The 13,766-nt window shown below is 38.6% G+C and overlaps 1 long non-coding RNA gene across 2 annotated transcripts in view; it reads left to right on the forward strand.

Annotated features, from left to right (window-relative positions):
• The first annotated feature begins 5,721 nt into the window (after positions 1 to 5,721).
• LOC102724572 (uncharacterized) overlaps positions 5,722 to 13,766 on the forward strand; it is a 42,841-nt gene continuing 34,796 nt past the window's right edge. The window contains exon 1 of one of the 2 annotated variants that reach the window (XR_426711.4): positions 5,722 to 5,958. This is a non-coding gene — a long non-coding RNA (uncharacterized LOC102724572). Of the gene's footprint in view, positions 5,959 to 7,172; positions 7,200 to 13,766 lie in introns of those variants that run through there. The other variant, XR_001737665.2, reaches the window with a different exon arrangement.

The raw sequence follows: 13,766 nt of genomic DNA on the forward strand, positions 1-13,766 counted from the left end.
TGGGGTTTTTATGGGCTCAGAATGAAGGATGTGCATGCTGACTAGTTCTTTGGTGGAAGCGCATGCTGATTGATCCATGAGCGGCCATGGGCAGGCCTGGAAAAAGCACCATCTGATTGGCCGAAAGGCATCAAGGAAGTTCTCACTCAGGGTCTCGTACTTTACCTGGAACTGGAAGCCCAGCCCCCAGACTTTAGGCCATCCCTGGCTTGAAGGTGGGGTTTCAGTGGGGACCCACCCCTTGCTGCCTAGGAACCTTTCTGCCTTTTGCCACCATCAACATGCCATCCATGGTGCCCAGGCTGTCTGCATCAAGGGGCAACTGCAGGCCTGCCTTGAGCCACCCTCAGTCCCCCAACCTCCCTCCTGTGCTCATTGGCACCCAAAGTTTCAGCCTTAGAGGTTATTTTTTGGGGGGGTCGAGGAAGCAGGGGGCTGGCATGTCAGCACCATCCTGAGTGTGCACACACCCAGCCGGGTCACAACAGTGCCTGGGCTTGGCTGTTGAGACACATCCATAGTGGGTGCTGGCAGCAGGGAGAGGCCAGGGAGTGGGAGAAGCACTTCTGAGCCTGCAGGGGCAGGGAGCTTCCTGGGTCCCTGGGAGCTTCCTGGGTTCCCTGAGAGCACAGGGATGCCCAGGTCCAGAGCCACAGCTGAGTGACTGCAGCTTCACCCAGGAGTGTGGGCTTCCACTCTGCCAACTCTGTAGGGTGTGGGACTCCCACTGGGATCACCTGTGCCCTGCCCCTGCCAGCTCCATGGAGCATGCAGCCCTGGCTATGACTCCCCTGCTACAGCCGGTGTCCTCACAGTGGCTGCTCCAGACAGGCCACTGCCACTATCAATGCTTTGTACATTTTTTTCTGGAAGAAAGAATTAATTCTTTGTTGTCAGGGGCTATGTTTTTTTCTTCTTATTCCATGGTCCTCTCAGCAGTTTCCTACAGCAGAGCTTCCCACCAATGTGGTGCTGTAGCCTAGTGAGCTACAAGTGATCTGCAAGTTTCCAGAGATATTGATCCCCAGACTCTGGCAGCCACTCAGGAACTCTTAGCCTCTAAGGAAGTTCTTACAGCTACCGCAGCCTCTTTATGTTTATTCCAGTATTACAGTGTTCTCTCACAGAAGAGATTGGGAAACATGGGCTCATCCTATCTTTGTTCCTAACTGGAATCCTAACTTGATATACATGTTTCTCTCCTATAAAGAAGCTCTTTGAAATGAGACCTGAATCAGCTATATGTTGTCTCCACTTCCTTCCTCCTAGACAATTGCAGTGAATTTTTGGGTGAGTTTGGGTGACATTCTCAACAATCACTTCTATGATAAACTTGATGCTCTTCGCTAACTAAATGTGTTTTACTTCCGTTACTTTTTCAAATATGCCATGCCACAATTTATGCTGAAAGTCACATATTGATTTCCTTTTGGGGGGGTCTCCACTTTCAAACAGTTTTAAAAGATTTTGGTTGATCACCTGCTTTATGGGAGACTTGGAACTCATTGAGGCAAGGGATTCAGAATGATTGAAGACAGTGCTCAAAATTCAATGAGCAAGCATGGGTAGATATTAAAAGGATTATACGTAGTGTATTGTTAAAGTTATTCCTTATTCAATTTCCTTTCAGTTCTTAAAGAGGAAGCCACAGTTTGGTATTGGTATGACTTTAACAACTTCTCAACCTCATGCTATTTTCCCCCTAAGTTTTTGTTTTTGTTTTTTTAGTAGGCAACAGTTTCCAACTAGAATTAAATAGCTTTATTTGATACAGCAAATTCGAGCACATGGATATGGCAAATAATATGGAAATACCTTAAATACACAAAACACCAGTATAACAGAAAGGGGCTAAGTTGTTAATCTGAAGACCCATAATTGGAAAACAGCCTGTTGATTACTCAAACAAGTTAATTAACCTCCCATTGCCTCATTTCTTTTTCTCATTTGTAAAATAGGCATAAGAGGTAACTATCTGAAAGAGCATTTGTTGGGGATTAAATGAAATAATGTCTATGAAAGGACTTTTTAAACTGAAAATAGTTACAAATATGTTAGCTTATCACTTATTGATACATCATAACTGATATTTTATGTTATGATTTATATCACAGTAGTTCTAAGAAAGTCCTACAAATTGCAAGATGCATGATATGAATATGTTAAATTTTAAGAACTTGTGCATAGCAGCAATAATGATGATTTTATAAGATTTAAGAAAATTTATAAATATTGATAACATTGGTATCAGACTTATTTTCAAGGTTTATTATATGCCTAACTAACTGCAGAGTTAGCTGAATATTACTAATGGAGACTATTTGGAATGAGCTTCACAAATTAACAAGGTCACTAGGAACTGCAGGCTGTTAAAGATCTCCTTGGGCCAAGGATGAAAGAAAATCAAATGGGACGGAAGAAAGCAGGTGGGTACTCTGAGGAGAGGTAATCAAAGAACTGTGTTCTGCAGCCATCTGGACTACTTGGAGCTTCACCAATGTAACCATGGAAACTATAAGGAATATGCTCAGAAGCAGGAAAGCATAAGTGCCCAGAGATTCTGTGGGCCTGTTACAATGCAAGAGAACCAGGCTATGTGTGCTGAAGTGGTCCGCTAAAGGACACAGTGGAAAAAAGGGGGAGATGTGGACTCCCTCAGAACCTGTGGAAAAGAAAGCCAACTGGGCCACCACAGACTTGTTTACACACCAGATGCCTGCTGGATCCTTTGAAGATGGGTACCTCACTGTCCAGTAAATACTCTTGGAAGGAATATATATTTGAATCTCACAACCAGTCTTTTAAGTGACTTTTGACACCAGTCAGATCACACTCTAAGTGAACAAAGATCATAGGAAAGAAATACTATTATTTCTGACATCTGCAAAAGCTATAATGACAAAGGTCCCAGACCTTCCCACTACTTGTGTAAAAGTTTTGGAACTCACAAATTCAAACCTTGTGTTACTAAATAGTCTACTTTTTAAAGCTTGAATGATTTTAGTCATGAATATTATTGAACTATCAATCAAACCAACTGCATCAGTAGGACATTCCTTATGGCATCAAGTTTATTTCTAGCTATATCAAGTATACTTCTAGCTAGTGGTTCTCAAAATGTCGGGTAGAGACTCTTGTATGTCCCCAAGATCTTTCCAGGGATTCTGTAAGTTCAAAACTATCTTAATCATCATTCTAAAATGTTATATTTTCTTTCCTTCTTATTCCCTCATGAGTGAAGAATGACATTTTCCAGAATCTACAGGAAGTGTAATACTGTGACAGATTGAATGCAGAAGCAGATGTAAAAATCCAGTTATCTTTTATTAAGCCATAAAGGAGATTTGCAAAAATGTTTAACAACGCCATACTCCTCACTAATTTTTTTTGTTTTGAAAAATATATTTTTTATTTAAAGGTGTTTATGTTAACATTAATTTATACTAACATGTAATGGGTTTATTATTGTTATTTCAAATAAAAGTATCAGTTTTAATTTTTAATATGGAGCCCAGTAATACATAATTAACACACATAACTACTTTTGGATCTTCAATGCTTTTTACAAGCACTTTTTCTGAGACCACAAAGATTGAGATCCTCAGGGATAAGCTATTATTAAGCTGCCAGTACCTGCAGGACTAATTTTGTCTCTGGTTTGAATTTTCTGGTATTGGCTTGAAGAAAGGTAATCTGTTATAACTCTATTAGCAATTTCAAACAGGTAGCAGCTGGATTAACATTTGTGAATATAAGTGTAACCTGCAGGACACCTGGAGAAGAGCCCATTTTATACCAGCTGCTGAGTTGCTCTGCCTACCCTGAGCCCCAGAACCTTCACTGCAGCTAGCCTTTGGGAATTACCTGTTAGATATCAAATTAGAGCAATGCTTGAGGAGATTTTTAGATGTGTGATTTTAAAACAATAACCCACGATTGGATGTGAAATGGCTGTATCTGTAGTATGGTATGAAAACTGGAGACAGGTGATATGGTTTGGCTGTGCCCCACCCAAAATCTCATCTTGAATTATAATCCTTAAAAACCCCACAGGTCAAGGGCAGAAACAGGTGGAGGCAATTGGATCCTGGGGGTGGTTCCCCCCATGCTGTTCTCGTGATAGTGAGTCTCATGAGATCTGATGATTTTATAAGCACCTGACATTTTCCCTACTTGCTCTCATTCTCTCTTCTGCAGCCCTGTGAAGAGGTGCCTTCTGCTATGATTGTAAGTTTCCTGAGGCCTCCCCAGCCATAAGGAACTGTGAGTCAATTAGACCACTTTTCTTTATAAATTACCCAGTCTTGGGTACTTCTTCATAGCAGTGTGGGAATGGACTAATACAACAGGTTTCTATACAATAAGGCTAGACCAAATTACAAATATCACAAATACAAGAATTGATTATATAGCAGAGCTCTGACGGTGACTTAAATCCTTCCTTGTTAGAAACTAGTGAAGTACCTAGGGAGGAGTCTCATGAGTGATAAGGAGTTCAGGCCCTAGAGTCAGGCAGAGCTGGGTTTGAATACCATGTCCACTACTAGTTAACAGAGTGACCTTGGGAAATTTAATGAACAAATCTGTTGAATGAGAAATAATAATAGTTTCACTTCATGGAGTGGTTTGAGAATTAAAGAGGCAATGTACAATGTGCTTCATGTACATTATTTCATGTACAGAAACTTTGAGACCTCAATGCTATTATGTTTCCATGTTACAGAGAGGGAACTGGCATTTAGAACAGTCAAATAATTTTCCAAAGGTCCTGCTGTTATGTGGCGAAGCACAGATTTGCTTTTGACAACCCTAACTATAAAATACCATATTATTGTGTCTTCTCAACAACAAAAATTAGAAAGTAGCAAGTTTCTTCTTCTGTTTTCCACAAACACCTAGCAGTGTTTTAAATACACAAAAGGTAGAGTTTCCTATAAAGAAGGCAAGAAAATGGCAGTAAATTCAGCATAGGGGAGAAGAGAAAAGTGCTTCTACTATTCCCCCAAGGTATGGGAAATGGCAACTTGTCTTTTATAGAGGTTTTGTAGACAACCTCTTTTTGTATACACATAACACATAAATATTCCACAAGTTTCCCTTAATATGCTCTGGGATAGGGTTGAGCATTTGTGACAGATGTAAATATCAGTTTATACAACTAAATGATAAATGATCTTAAGAAAGAGGGGGAAATGATTTCCCCATAAAAACTCACTGAAGCATTCTAGATGAAAGGACTTGAAGCAGTGAAGGCTCATCCTTGATTTACTGCCAGGCATCATGCTGGGGACTAGACACCCTTTAGCTGACATGTTCTGCACCCTTACTATTGTAACAGAGATGCAGAGTAGTTATGAACGTTTCCCGGATCTTACTTTTAAAGAAACAATTCTACTTAGAGCAATGTTGTTCCATTTATATACCAGACACATCTAAACAACAGCAAAAATATAACTTGATGCTTTTGGAAAAAAATGTTTATTGTAAATTATTGTAGTTTATTGCAGTGAACTAGGTACTATGCAGTTAATAATCTATGCAGTAAATTACATTATGTGGATGTATGCAGCCAGGAATTGTCTCCATTTCTGGATTGACCTACAATTACAAATAACAAATAGCAATTACAAATTGTAACCTATAATTACAAATATGTGTCTTACATTTAATCTCTTTGGTTACCTATCACTTTTCTATTAACTAGATAACAGATAATCATCTGATAACTAGATAAGTAGATAATCATCTGATATTTCCTAGAGCTACTTCCCCCTCACCTCCCCTCCCCTCCACCTTCACCCCACCTTGAACCCCCACCCTTGCATTTCAGTTGTAAATGTGGCTGCTACATGAATTAGTAGTGAACCTGACTGGGTCATGCTTCAGCTTTGAAGGAAGAGCAATGGCTTAGGAATGAATCACAGCGATTAACCGTGAGTCGGTGTCTTCTTAAGCACGGTAAAGTATAAATTTGATTTTATTTTTCCACTAGGATGGAGATAACAAATCACATCTGTCCATGTAAAAGTTGGTAGTTTTATGTTCACCTGCATGGATTGATAGGTGGAGCTATCATGTGCCTCTTTCTTATTGAGGGTTATTTCTGCTATTTGAGTTGAATGGAAATTATTCATGAATCAGAGGAAGTCAGTTGCAATAGCCTCCAACTGCAATTTTCTGTTTTGTATTCTGAGGACAGCACAGTTCAAGGCTGTGTAAATGATAGGCCGATACTCTGCATTTCTATAATACCTTTTGCCAAAGAATAGAAAATGATCCTGCATCTCTCTTTGACTTCAATTTTAGAAGTCAGAGAAATGACACATCATGGTATTCCTAAGATTAGGTCCAAAATTATGACTTCACTCTTGCTAGTTCCTACACATATACTCCCTCTAGGGGGAAAATAACTGTCAATATATTTTCTTTATGAGTAGGTCAAATATTTTTCAAAGTCAAAACAACAACAAAGAAAGGCTCAATATGTTATAAGTAGAATTCATCCATAAGAAGCTTTTTGATGCACAAGATATTTGACAAAATACAAAATAAATACCCAGTCCTATAAAATTTCTTTGCATAATCACCTACACTGCATACCAAATGCCACATAAAAATTAGAGCATCAGCACTCTCTTCTTTCCAGAACTTTAGCTTGTCCTGACTTATTCCTGTAACATTCATTGTCTTACTCTTGATATTCCCAGAGCTTTTCATCCTCCTATTTTCATCCTCACCTCACTTTTCAGAATTGACCATCCACATCAACTTCCCAGGTTCATGGGAATGTGCCCTCTTAAACACTGCTTTGATTTTGATTCTACCTTTAGCAATGCTTTCCTTGTCATCTTGGTTAAAAAAGTCTTCCACTTCAACAGAGTCCCAGCAGTCTCTCTTTTAAGACTGGCTTCATGAAGGGTAGTCTTTTTCTATTTGATTCTGCCTCTGAAACTGGCAAAACTTACAGGAAGGAAGAGAGGAAAGAAAGAACAGAAGGGAAGTAAAGATCACATACAAATGTATCAAATAAGTGTTTTCTGAGCTAAAATTTCTTAGGAGTTACCAAGCAGCAAAAGAAAGAGAGAGAGAGAGAGAGGAGAAGAAAAGGAAGAAAAAGAAAAAAAAGAAGAGAAGAAGAGGAAGAAGAAGAAGGAGAAGAAGAAGAAGAAGGAGGAGGATATTAGCCCTTTGTCAGATGAGTAGGTTGCAAAAATTTTCTCCCATTTTGTAGGTTGCCTGTTCACTCTGTTGGTAGTTTCTTTTGCTGTGCAGAAGCTCTTTAGTTTAATTAGATCCCATTTGTCAATTTTGTCTTTTGTTGCCATTGCTTTTGGTGTTTTAGACATGAAGTCCTTGCCCATGCCTATGTCCTGAATGGTAATGCCTAGGTTTTCTTCTAGGGTTTTTATGGTTTTAGGTCTAACGTTTAAGTCTTTAATCCATCTTGAATTGATTTTTGTATAAGGTGTAAGGAATGAATCCAGTTTCAGCTTTCTACATATGGCTAGCCAGTTTTCCCAGCACCATTTATTAAATAGGGAATCCTTTCCCCATTGCTTGTTTTTCTCAGGTTTGTCAAAGATCAGATAGTTGTAGATATGCGGCATTATTTCTGAGGGCTCTGTTCTGTTCCATTGATCTATATCTCTGTTTTGGTAATAGTACCATGCTGTTTTGGTTACTGTAGCCTTGTAGTATAGTTTGAAGTCAGGTAGTGTGATGCCTCCAGCTTTGTTCTTTTGGCTTAGGATTGACTTGGCGATGCGGGCTCTTTTTTGGTTCCATATGAACTTTAAAGTAGTTTTTTCCAATTCTGTGAAGAAAGGCATTGGTAGCTTGATGGGGATGGCATTGAATCTATAAATTACCTTGGGCAGTATGGCCATTTTCACGATATTGATTCTTCCTACCCATGAGCATGGAATGTTCTTCCATTTGTTTGTATCCTCCTTTATTTCTTTGAGCAGTGGTTTGTAGTTCTCCTTGAAGAGGTCCTTCACATCCCTTGTAAGTTGGATTCCTAGGTATTTTATTCTCTTTGAAGCAATTGTGAATGGGAGTTCACTCATGATTTGGCTCTCTGTTTGTATGTTGTTGGTGTATAAGAATGCTTGTGATTTTTGTACATTGATTTTGTATCCTGAGACTTTGCTGAAGTTGCTTATCAGCTTAAGGAGATTTTGGGCTGAGACAATGGGGTTTTCTAGATATACAATGATGTCGTCTGCAAACAGGGACAATTTGACTTCCTCTTTTCCTAATTGAATACCCTTTATTTCCTTCTCCTGACTAATTGTCCTGGCCAGAACTTCCAACACTATGTTGAATAGGAGTGGTGAGAGAGGGCATCCCTGTCTTGTGCCAGTTTTCAAAGGGAATGCTTCCAGCTTTTGCCCATTCAGTATGATATTGGCTGTGGGTTTGTCATAGATAGCTCTTATTATTTTGAGATGCATCCCATTAATACCTAATTTATTGAGAGTTTTTAACATGAAGCGTTGTTGAATTTTGTCAAAGGCCTTTTCTGCATCTATTGAGATAACCATGTGGTTTTTGTCTTTGGTTCTGTTTATATGCTGGATTACATTTATTGATTTGTGTATATTGAACCATCCTTGCATCTCAGGGATGAAGCCCACTTGATCGTAGTGGATAAGCTTTTTGATGTGCTTCTGGATTCAGTTTGCCAGTATTTTATTGGGGATTTTTGCATCAATGTTCATCAAGGATATTGGTCTAAAATTCTCTTTTTTGGTTTTGTCTCTGCCCAGCTTTGGTATCAGAATGATGCTGGCCTCATAAAATGAGTTAGGGAGGATTCCTTCTTTTTCTATTGATTGGAATAGTTTCAGAAGGAATGGTACCAGTTCCTCCTTGTACCTCTGGTAGAATTCGGCTGTGAATCCATCTGGTCCTGGACTCTTTTTGGTTGGCAAGCTATTGATTATTGCCACAATTTCAGATGCTGTTATTAGTCTATTCAGAGATTCAACTTCTTCCTGGTTTAGTCTTGGGAGAGTGTATTTGTCAAGGAATTTCTCCATTTCTTCTAGATTTTCTAGTTTATTTGCATAGAGGTGTTTGTAGTATTCTCTGATGGTAGTTTGTATTTCTGTGGGATCGGTGGTGATATCCCCTTTATCATTTTTTATTGTGTCTATTTGATTCTTCTCTCTTTTTTTCTTTATTAGTCTTGCTAGTGGTCTATCTATTTTGTTGATCCTTTCAAAAAACCAGTTCCTGGATTCATTAATTTTTTGAAGGGTTTTTTGTGTCTCTATTTCCTTCAGTTCTGCTCTGATTTTAGTTATTTCTTGCCTTCTGCTAGCTTTTGAATGTGTTTGCTCTTGCTTTTCTGGTTCTTTTAATTGTGATGTTAGGGTGTCAATTTTGGATCTTTCCTGCTTTCTCTTGTGGGCATTTAGGGCTATAAATTTCCCTCTACACACTGCTTTGAATGTGTCCCAGAGATTCTGGTATGTTGTGTCTTTGTTCTTGTTGGTTTCAAAGAACATCTTTATTTCTGCCTTCATTTCGTTATGTACCCAGTAGTCATTCAGGAGCAGGTTGTTCAGTTTCCATGTAGTTGAGCGGTTTTGAAATCTACAATGAAATCAAAAAAATTTACAAGAAAAAAACAAAGAACCCCATCAAAAAGTGGGCAAAGGACATGAACAAACACTTCTCAAAATAAGACATTTATGCAGCCAAAAAACACATGAAAAAATGCTCATCATCACTGGCCATCAGAGAAATGCAAATCAAAACCACAATGAGATACCATCTCACACCAGTTAGAATAGTAATCATTAAAAAGTCAGGAAACAACGGGTGCTGGAGAGGATGTGGAGAAATAGGAACACTTTTACACTGTTGGTGGGACTGTAAACTAGTTCAACCATTGTGGAAGTCATTGTGGCGATTCCTCAGGGATCTAGAACTAGAAATACCATTTGTCCCAGCCATCCCATTACTGGGTATATACCCAAAGGACTATAAATCATGCTGCTATAAAGACACATGCACACATATGTTTATTGCGGCATTATTCACGATAGCAAAGACTTGGAACCAACCCAAATGTCCAACAATGATAGACTGCATTAAGAAAATGTGGCACATATACAACATGGAATACTATGCAGCCATAAAAAATGAAGAGTTCATGTCCTTTGTAGGGACATGGATGAAATTGGAAATCATCATTCTGAGTAAACTATCGCAAGAACAAGAAACCAAACACCGCATATTCTCACTCGTAGGTGGGAATTGAACAATGAGAACACATGGACACAGGAAGGGGAACATCACACTCTGGGGACTGTTGTGGGGTGGGGGGAGTGGGGAGGGATAGCATTGGGAGATATACCTAATGCTAGATGACGAGTTAGTGGGTGCAGCGCACCAGCATGGCACATGTATACATATGTAACTAACCTGCACAATGTGCACATGTACCCTAAAACTTAAAGTATAATTAAAAAAAAAAAAAAGGAGGAGGAAGGGAGGGAGGGAAGGAAGGAAGGGACTGAGGGAGGGAGGGAGGGAAATGGGTGGGTGGGAGGGACAGGGAGAGAGGGACGGAAAGAAAAAAATAATCAAGGACTTAATTTCAAAAATTCAGAGGTGTGAGGGTAACCTCCATCTGGTTTTGTTAATGAAATTCCAACTCCACCATCATCGCTAGTATTTAATTCTAACCCACATTCTGTCAGGTACTGTTTCCTGATATGTGTGGAAATGTGGGGTCAGCTGGGAATGTTTCTCAAGTCCTCTCACTTCCCACAGATCTAGGGAGATCACAGTAGTAACTCTAGGCTTTCCTCTGAGCCTCAGTGTTCTGCTGAGCCATGGCTCTTTTTACCTCAAACAAAGAGAATTCTTTCCCAGTGTTCACCGTAAGTGGCTGTTAGGGACCACACTCTCAAGCATCATGCTTTATCGCTGTTTGTTAATAGAAGATAGCTTAGAAAAGTACAGACCTGTATTCAAATTCTAGGCCTGATCCTTACTATGTGATATGAGGAACATTTCTTTATCTGTAAAAATAATAACGATAATACTTTCAAGTCTGTTATGAGGTTAAAATAAGAAAAGTGTGTGAATGTACCTTTCAAAGTGTTTGGCATTTATTATGTCCTAAATATGTACAACACACTTTTTCTCTCAGTAACTAAAGGACAGAGATGCCAAGTTTACCATCATTATACTATTGATGTCTTTGGCATTCAGCTTTTATTAAACCAGTGCATTATCTTTCCCTAGAAACAGAATAATCACTTCATTTTGGAGGAGGCTGAACACTTTCAAAGATGATAAGATACGGTGTATCACAGTTTCCATTCAAACATTATAAAGGGACCCCCTTAAGTCAAAATGCTTGCACCTTTCATCAGCAGATGTCTTATGCCTGTTACTCTTTTGTTAAATCAGAGAAGCATCATTTTTATCTGCTCTATGCCCAGGATGAAAAGTTTAGCAATCCCATCAGAATGACTCCAGGATGTGTTTCTTGCATTTCAAGCTCATTCTTTATGGGTTTAACTGATCTGAGTTCAAGAGCTTAATATAAATATATAACTTTTTCAATGCTAAGTAACCTAGAGAACATTTTTTTTCTAAATATATGATTAATCTGACCATAATGCTGCCTCCCTTGAATCAGGCTGAGGGTGAACTAGATTGCACAAAGGGAAGTAACATAAGTAAACCTTAATATATCTCTGTCTTCCCTTTTGGGAAACTGCCAATAAATGAGATAAATAAGTCAGAGTCTTAGCAGTACAGCTCTCATTTCCATCTGTAATGACTAAACTCTTTATATCTGACAATCTCTTATTCAATAAGATTTGTCAGGAAAAGAAAGCTATTTGTGCAAGATGCCTTATTTTATTCTTGCAAGTCATGAACTATAAATAGAATGATGACAACAAATGTTTCCGGAATTAGGTATTCATATGTGTTTGGGTTAAATAAGTAATTTCACTTCAAAGGACAAGTCATCCGCTTTCATTAATCATCTTTAAATTTTAGCCCTACATTTCACCATCCATGCTGTAAGCATTTGTTGCATCTGCTTGAAATGTCTCTGCTACCCTTAACATCTTTTTTTCTTACCATCATGATTTTTGCATAGAATACTACATATGACTTGCCTGTACTCTCTCCATCCTGCCATGTATCCTGTACAACATTTCCAGCTTCTTATTCCCAAAGCACAAGTTTGGCAAGCCTCTACCCTATAACCACACTTTTTAAAAAAGTCTTTCAATCTACAGCATTTTTCCCTCAATACCCCATTACACAAGCTCTTCAGTTCAACCTAACTGGTCTTCTACCCAGTCATTCATAAGCATGCATTATGATTCGTGCCACTGTCAATCCTCAGACTTGTAATACTTTTTCTCCTCATTCTATTCTTTTCTAATAAAAGTTTTTGAGGATTGGAAGAAAGTTTATTTTGATGTTTTTCCTCAGTTATGCTGATTTGGGATTAATACTCCTAAGAAATGATGACTGATATCCAGCAAAACAATCAAGGATACTGCACGGAGGAGGGCAGTACTAGTCGTAGCTTCCATTTCTGAGATTGGTTAGCCTATTGTTTGAGTACATAACATCCAGCATAGTGATCCTGGTCAGGGCAAACCTGACAGCTTAAAACAAATCAACTTGTTGAGAGAGTGTAAGTGTCTTACTTCACTAGATAAAAAAGAGCATACATAGATAGTGCCTTCTATTTATGTGGCTGTCTGTACCTTATGGTGAAGGTCATCATGTTATGTGTGTTTTCCATTTGTGTGTATGGTAACTTTCCTCTCAATAAATGCTGTTCTTCAATCTGATACACAGGTGCTGTCTAGTCTTTCTCCTGCTAAGAAACAATATATTACAATTTTCTTCATAGTTCACAAACTTCTGATTTCCATTCTTACACCTTGCTCCATAAATCAGTCTCCTTATTCCTTAATCTGTCTGGCTACTAGATGAGACAAGTTTAAAAATGAAATTGTTTTGAAGAGAAGTCTTTACAGCTAGCTGCCTCTGGACATTAATCCATAAATTAATATAACAATAAAGAGGTTAAGTGATCAACCTAAGTCTCTCAGCTGTGGGTACACTTAGTTGCTTTTTTTTTTTAAGAGAACTTGGGTATCTTATTCTGGGAGGGAAGCCAGGTATCATGGCTAAATGACTGTAGTTCCTGTTGTTAAATCACAGGAGTTATCTTGTTGCTGAGCACACATTTTATGGTTATTAACTTTAGCTCTCATAAAGAGATGATACCCAGGGAGACATATGCTGGGGAGGAATAGATGTAGTCATCTATTTCCCATCAGCACATTTCCTCTAAGAAGATGTTTCCTGCTTGGAATTTAATGACCAGCTATGCTGGTGTTCAAAAAGATATTATTTCTTCTCTTTCAACATCTCTCATTCATTCATTCATTCATTCATTCAATACTATTGTGACTCTGTGAGACAGACACTGTGCTAAACTCCAGAAATATAGCATTCGACAGACAGACAAAATCTTCTGTCAAAGGCCATATATTCTTAATTGGAACACTATTTATTCACAAAAAAAGGTGACATATACAATTATAGGAAAGTAAAGGGAATACTGGGAGCACCTAGGAGGAAACCTTAATCTGAATCTGGGGGAAGGCAGGACATCAAAGAGGGCTTCCTGGAAGAAGTAACACCTTAGTTAAGTTCTGAAACCTAAAATGTGATAATCTGAGTGAATTGAGAATCTGAGGGTG

This window comes from Homo sapiens, chromosome 1 (genome assembly GCF_000001405.40).
Source record: "Homo sapiens chromosome 1, GRCh38.p14 Primary Assembly".
Taxonomy (NCBI): domain Eukaryota; kingdom Metazoa; phylum Chordata; class Mammalia; order Primates; family Hominidae; genus Homo; species Homo sapiens.